Consider the following 7641-nt stretch of genomic DNA (forward strand, 5'->3'; position numbering starts at 1 on the left):
GGCTGGAGGACTCTAAATGTGGTGTTACCTCCTGCCTTCAAGGCTTCTACTGTGAGCAGATTTTCAGTTATGTATTTGCAGTTGAACTTGGCCACCCGCTGGCTGGCTCACTTTGTTAGAAATCAGGACCGTGGCTTATTTGGGAGCAAGGTTCTTATACCTCATTGGCTTTTGTGCCTCTCTTTAAACTTCCCCAAGGAGCAGGTAAGGAGGTCTCCAGCTTCTTGGGTTTGTAGGTATATGTGGGGAGCTTTTCTCTTCCTTTTGTCCATTGCTATTTTCTTTTCTTTTATTATTGAGGTAAAATTTACATACAGTAAAGTCTACAAATTCTTTTTTTTTTTTTCAGATGGAGTCTCTCTCTGTCACCTAGGCTGAAGTGCAGTGGTGCAATCTTAGCTCACTGCAACCTCCGCCTCCCAGGTTCAAGAAATTCTCCTGCCTCAGCCTCCCGAGTAGCAGGGATTACAGGCATGCGCCACCATGCCTGGCTAATTTCTGTATTTTTAGTAGAGATGGGGTTTCACCGTGTTGGCCAGGCTGGTCTCAAACTCCTGACCTCAAATGATCCACCCACCTCAGCCTCCCAAAGTGCTGGGATTACAGACATGAGCCACTGTGTCCGGCCAAGTCCACCAATCTTTACATGTGCTGTACAGTTGATGTATTTTTTCTATATTTGTACATCAGTGCAAGCACCGCTCTAATCAGGATATGGATGGTTTCCATCACTCCAGAGGGTTCCCCATGCCCCCACCCGCTTCCCCCATCAACCCAGCTTGTGCTCACATGCAGCAGCTGCCATTGAACTTCACATGGGGCGGGTATTATATACCATGTGCTTTACATTGTTCCCTTAGGACTTTCACGTCTTTTTCTGATCAGTTTTAAGCAGCCTCTCAGCCCTTCTTCTGATGGGCTGGGCTCCTCCCTCCTGGCACATCACTGGTGACTGTCTACTGTCATCTCCTGAGGTGGCAGAAGCCTCAGATGTACCTCCCTTGGCAGGGTGTGTCCTGGGATATTCCTGCGGGCACCGAGACCAGGCCTTTGCTCCCAGGGGCGGCTCTGTGGCTTTGCTGGCTCTTGCATTGCAGGGCTTGGAGGAGCTGGGAATGGGCTGGGGATGGGGTGCCCTGGGCAAAGGTTTCTGAGAAGTGGCCTGAAGTCAGGCCAAGCTGGGGGGCTTTAGAGAAGGAGTGGATAAAGCTACAGACCCAAGAGAGGTCTGCACAATGGGGGGTGCTCACAGAACACCCACAATGTTAGAAGTGGCAGTTAAGTGTGGGGTGGTGAATTAGGCATTAGCTTGGCCCTCTACTGAGAATGACGGAGGACAGACCCCACCCCTGCTGACAAGGCTGACCTTAGGTGTGGTATGGTGGGAAGTCGCCCTTCCCTACAAAAATATCCCTTTCGCCTGCCTGCCAACACCATGTGTTCACTCACTTGTTCATGTCAGGGGTATTTCCTGGGACCCCGGGGATGCAGGCAGGCAATGTGCTAACGCCAACTGTGTGAGGATGCCCACAGGCAGGGCCTCTCATCCCGCGGGCCCACTTCCTAGACAGGCTGCTAACGGGTGGCCCACAGGCCAGATTGGGACCTTGGATGTGCTGGCTTTGGCTCCCATAGTTTAAAAACCTGGAAATTGCCTATAAAAACTAGATTCCTGACTTCTCCTGACAAATCAGGAGATCTGGCAACCCCAGCCTGCTACACAGCAGCAGGTAGGAGTGGGCACGGCACGCTTTCTCCAGTTTGCTACAGTACCTACCATCCCTCTGGCCTCATACCTGCTGGCCTAGGTATGTACATTTCTGCTACTACAGAAATGTAGATATCTCTGCTAATTTGAATGGATGGGAAGAGTTGGTGAAGGCCTCACAGGAGAGGCAGTGAGGCTTGGTCACCGGTTGGAGGGTGCCTGTCCAAACCTACTCAGGCTCTTCCTCTTGAGGGTGATGCTCTTCTCGGCAGATGCTCTCTGGAGAGGATGATAGTGTGGGGGAGGGGGAATGGGCAGGAGAGCAAGATGCTGAGATATTATCCCACCAAGGCCCAGGGTAGTGGTTCTCAAAGTATGGACTACCTGGATTAGGATCACCTGGGGGTGTTGGTTCAAAATGCAGCCCCACTGCAGCAGAGCCTGGAGGGAAGGTCCCCAGGTGATGCCCTGCTCACTCAAGTATGAGAAAAGGAGGCCGGGGCTTAGCAGGCCATGGGTCTGACACAAACTGTGTTTTCTAGGGCAAGACTGGGGACCCAACTCCTCCTTCTAGTCCCCTGATGGAGTCTTGTTTTGGACACCCTGCTTCCAGGCACAGCTGGGGCCCCCACCAAGCTGAGGGCATGAGAATCATCTTCTCCAGCCTTCTGGCTCCTGCACCTGGAGGAAAGGTCATGCTTGGCCTTGCCAAGTCTTTTCATTTTCCAGAATCTTTGAACTGCCACCCAGGCAGTGGGCCAGCTGTGAGAAATGGGATGGTGGCTGGCTGGCTGGTAAGGGACACCTTGTCTCCTCTTCCCTTTGATGGGTGTGCTTGCCTCTCAGCCAGGTGGCCTGACAGTTGCTGGGCTCTGGCCAGGGGGCTGGAATCATGGCCCTTTGTAGGTAAGGAGGGGCAGGGGTAGGGAGGCACCCTCGTGGTGGCCAGGGCGTACGTAAGGAGGCGCTTATGCTCAGGTTCTTGAAGTGGCCCAGCAAGAGAGCATTTCCTTAATAATGAGGTTCCTGGGGAGCAAAATATGGGAGGCCCTCATTCTCAGGGTGGTGAAGGGCCCACTCCCCACCCACTCCTGCCAGAACTTGAGAATGCGGGCTCCCTAAATGTCCCACTCTCCCAAACTTGTCTGGTCCTGCATCCTGGTTACTGCACTCAGGGAGCCCGAGGGATGTGCTGGGATTGCAGGTGAAGGAGAGGGTGGGGCAGGCAGAGCATTCAGGACCTCTCACACCAGACCATGGCTTCTCAACCCCAGCTGCACACAGGAAGCCCCCGGGAAGCTTTAACATTTCCTGATGCCAGGACCCCATCCCCAGAGATTTGGATTTAATGAATCTGGGGTGCAGCTGGTGTTGGGATTTTTAAAACTCCCCAGGGGATTCTAATGGGCAGCAAACTTTGAAAACCTCTGATCTGGATGGAGCAGGGAGGGTGTTGTTTATGGGTTTTCCTTCCATCTGTTTTAGTTGGAAGCAACAGACCGACAAGCAGGACACAGACTTCTAAGGGTAATGCTGTTTTTTTTTTTCTTTGAGATGGTGTCTCACTCATTCCGATTGTACAGTGGCATAGTCTTGGCTCACTGCAACCTCCGTCTCCCAGGTTCAAGTGTTTCTCCTGCCTCAGCCTCTCGAGTAGCTGGGATTACAGGTGCTCACCACCACGCCTGGCTAATTTTTGTATTTTTAGTAGAGACGGGTTTTCACCATGTTGGCCAGGCTGGTCTCGAACTCCTGAGCTCAGGTGATCTGCCCGCCTTGACCCCCCAAAATGCTGGGATAACAGGAGTGAGCCACCGTGCCCGGCCTGGGTAACACTTTTGCTGGTAACACCAATAGCTGAATGCTGTTGTCAACATTCAACAAGGTGAATGGACTATGAGGAGGACGGAAAGAAGCCTAAGATTCAAGCTCCCAATCTGTGCCACATGCATCATGTTTGCCACTTAACGGTCAGTCCTGGGAGTTTACAGATGAGGAGCTTGAGTCTTGGCCAGGCTAAGGACTTTGCCTGCGCCTCACAGCTGTGGAATTGTAGAGCCTTAAATGAAATTGATGTGTGACAAGGTGCTGGTAGGAATGAAAGTCCTTCCTGTTGCTTTCAGATTGATTTTCTAAATAAAGTATTTCTGGGGTCAGCTGGTGGAGGAGAGGGCTTGGGAAAGAACTGGGCCCCGACTCCTCTCTGCCTGCAAGATAGAGGGTGGGGAGGAGCTGAAGGCTATTTTAGGCCCCGTCCCCCATCAGATTCTGTCGGAATCTGGCCTCAGCCAGCTGCCTCAAGTGATTTTAAGGAAAAATACCTCTCCCTCTGCTTAAAGACAAATAGATCCCTGAACGTAAAGTGAGTTGACTAGTGTGATAAAAACGGGCCTCCTCCTTGCCTCCAAATTCTCTCACACACACACACACACACACACACACACACACACACACGTATGCACACATACACACACTCAGAGTTACCGCAATTCCACCACCTAGGTGATTAGATTGAGCCAGAAAATACTCATGGGAGGGTAAGTGGGGAGACAATTCCATCTGTTACAGCATATTATAGGTTACAGAGTACTTTTATAGGGGGCTGATCCTACATTCTCAGCAGACCTATGCATCCTGCTAGACAGCAAACACCGTGGGGAATATGCCACAGAGGCTTCTGTAGATGCAAAGAGAGAGCATTTAAGGTGAGGCTTGGAAGATGCTGAAAGTTGCTCTTTAATGGGTAACTTTATGCAAAAGAATTGTCCCACTGGCTTCCAAAGCAGTAACAATGCTGTGAGCAGCTTTTTGCTGTGGTGACAAAAGTTCACTTTCTCCTACTGAGAGTGGTTTCTGCATTCTCAGTTGGTTCATGCAGGAGCAGTGGGCCAGGGAAGAGAGCACCAGGGCTGGTTGGATTCCTGCCTGTCCACTTATGGGCTCCCTCACCTTGGGTGAGGGGATTAGCCTCTGAGTCCTGGTTTCCTCCTATGCATGTTGGGGGCTTCTGCTTCTGGCCAAGACAGGGTAGCAGGGACTGGATTTATACTCCTGCCTGAAACAATTTTTAAAAAACAGACAGAACATATGAAATAATGGTTTTCAAGACACTAGACATTAGGCTACAAGATTCAGGGGTCCCACAGAGCTCTATGGTTGTCTCTGCTTACTACCTGGAGAGTGTTTTCGGCCACAACCCAGAGAGGGGGAACTCGGGCCAGGTGGGGAGAAATGGAAGTAAATTCTGTAAATGTAAGGTTCTTATACTCGATGTGAAGTGGCACAACATCACTTGAAGGTAAATTGTGAAAAGGTCAAGATGTGTACTATAAACACTAAAGCAACTGCTAAAATAGCAGAGTTACAGCTGCTAAGCCAATAAAGAAGATAAAATGGAATAATCAAAAATAGTCCAAAAGAAGGCAGAAAAGGGGAAAAAAATAGATGGAACAAATAGAAAACAACCTGGGGCTATGCCAGGTTCCCCTGCCTCTCCTCCTTGGAGTCAGGAGGTCCCAGCCCTGCCTCCAAGCCACACTGAACCTTGGTTTTCTCATCTGAAGAATGGGATAGCAGTTCTGACCTCTCAGGGATATCCGAGGGTTCCTCGGGAGTGTGGTGCCTGGTGCAGGATGGCTGCTTTCCCTCTTCTGTCTGCCTGGCCCAGCTCCTGCCTCTGCGCTCCTCTCCCCTCTCTTACTTGGGGGTACTTTTCTCCCTTGGACTGCCCCTGCCTCTCCAAGGCCTTCTGGGAGCCAAGTGGCTTGGCCCTGCCAGTGGGCAGGTTGAAGATTTTTCCTTCAAGACCCTCGAAGGCCAGGTGGTCAGGGGTTGGGGGGCATGAAAGTTGAGTGAGACTAAGCTTTTTGCTTTTGTTTTTGTTTTTATTATTTTTAATGTTTCATTGTGGTTTTTTTTGTTTGTTTGTTTGTTTTTTTTTTTTTTTTTAGATAAAATTCACATAACATACAAGGAACCGTGTTAAAGTGTACAATTCAGTCTGGGTGTGGTGGTCCACACCTCTAATCCCAGCACTTTGGGAGGCCAAGGTGGGAGGATCACTTGAGTCTAGGAGTTTGAAACTAGCCTGGGCAACGTGGTGAAACCCTGTCTCTACAAAAAGTAGAAGAATTAGCTGGGTGTGGTGGTGTGGGAGCTGGGGGTGGGAGGCTGAGATGGGAGGATGGCTTGAGCCTGGGAGGCAGAGGTTGCAGTGAGCCGAGATCACCCCACTGCACTCTGGTCTGGGCAACAGAGTGAGACCCTGTCTCAATAAATAAATAAATAAATAAATAAAAATTATACAATTCAGTGGCATTTAGTATATTCCCAATGTTGTACAACCACCAGTTTCAAAACCACTAGTTTCAAAATTTTTCGTCACTCCAGAAAAACACCCTGTGCCCATTAAGTAATCACTCCTCATTCTCTCCCTCCCCCCAGCCTCTGGTAACCACTCATCTGCTTTCTCCCTTTATGGATTTACCTATTGTGTTCATTTCATTTCAAAGGAATCATAGACTCTGTGGCCTTTTATGTCTGGCTTCCTTCCCTTGGCGTAATGTTTTAAGTTTCATCCATGTTATAGCAAGTGTCAGCACTTTATTTCTTTTTAATAGCTGAGTAATATTCTATTGCATGTACATAACACGATTTGTTTATCCATTCAGCCGTTGATGGACATTGAGTTGTTTCTACCTTTCGGTTACTGTGGATAGTGCTGTGATGAACATTTGTGAACAAGGGGAGTCCCTGTTTTCAGTCATTTCGAGCATATCCAAATGCGTGGAGTTGGTGGGTCATACGGAAATTCTGTTTACCTTTTGCAGAAACTGCCAAACTGCTCTCCACAGTGGCTGTACCTCCTTTTAGTTTTCATATTATATTATTCTAAGTGCAAAGATAAGACAACGCCATAGAAAATTTGGAAATTATGCCTTGAGCAATTTTTTTAAAAAAGTTTTCATTTTAAAAAATCATAAAGTTTATATAAATCCATGCTTATTGTAACAATTCAAAGACATTTCTAGCAGAAAAAAGTCTATCTGCTCCTCCATCACTTTCCCCCTAGCTGATAAATGTTGACCCTTTAGTAAGTATCTTTCCAGACATTTTCCAGGCATTGATAGAGTTTTGGGATTTTTCTTTTTACATGAACTTGTCATACTATCCATATTATTTGCTTTGAAATCTTTCTATGCATTTCTTGTGAATTTCAAGTTGGAAAGACTGTCCCAGAGCCAGGCGGGTGGTCCCTGGAGGAGAGACCCTCAGATCTGTGACCTGTCCTTGCTCTGTTAAAAAAAGTTTGGAAGTCTGGGCCACAGGTATGGACAAAGTTGTCCTTGAGTGGATGGATAAAGAATGTATTATAATTTTCTTTTTGTTATCTGCATATATAAATTCTTTGTAAAATGAGTATGAATTGCTTTTATAATAAGAAAAAAAAGTGGGGAAGAATTGAGGGCCTGCAGTCTTGGTGCCCAGCTTGTACCTTAATTTAGCACTAACTTCATTCCTTCTCATTGCATAATGAGTTGTTTATGTGTTTGCCTCCCTTGAGGGAGGACAGGCTTATTCATCTCCTTGCCCTCCCGACTCCTTCCCTGCTCAGGTCTGAGCCCCATGCCAGGCACACAGCAGGATTGCTGAACCAGCAAGTAGCCCCTGCAGGGTTGTGGTGGAGGCTGCAGAGGAGAGGGTGGGTCCCAAAGACCCCCATATGCCCTCAGCTCAGGCTCCCAAAGGAGAGTGCATAGCCGGGGGAGTCCAGGCCCCCAGGACCAGGCTCCCAGTGGTCACACTCTCTGCAGGGGCACTGGGCCCAGCCTCTGTGGGAAGCTGGGTGTGAGCGCAGGTGCAGTTATTCATGGCAGCCCTGGCCAGAGTACCCATGGCAGGCGGCATCCAGCTGAGGAGTTAATTAGAGCACT

The sequence above is a fragment of the Homo sapiens genome, chromosome 10 (assembly GCF_000001405.40).
Source record: "Homo sapiens chromosome 10, GRCh38.p14 Primary Assembly".
Taxonomy (NCBI): Eukaryota; Metazoa; Chordata; class Mammalia; order Primates; family Hominidae; genus Homo; species Homo sapiens.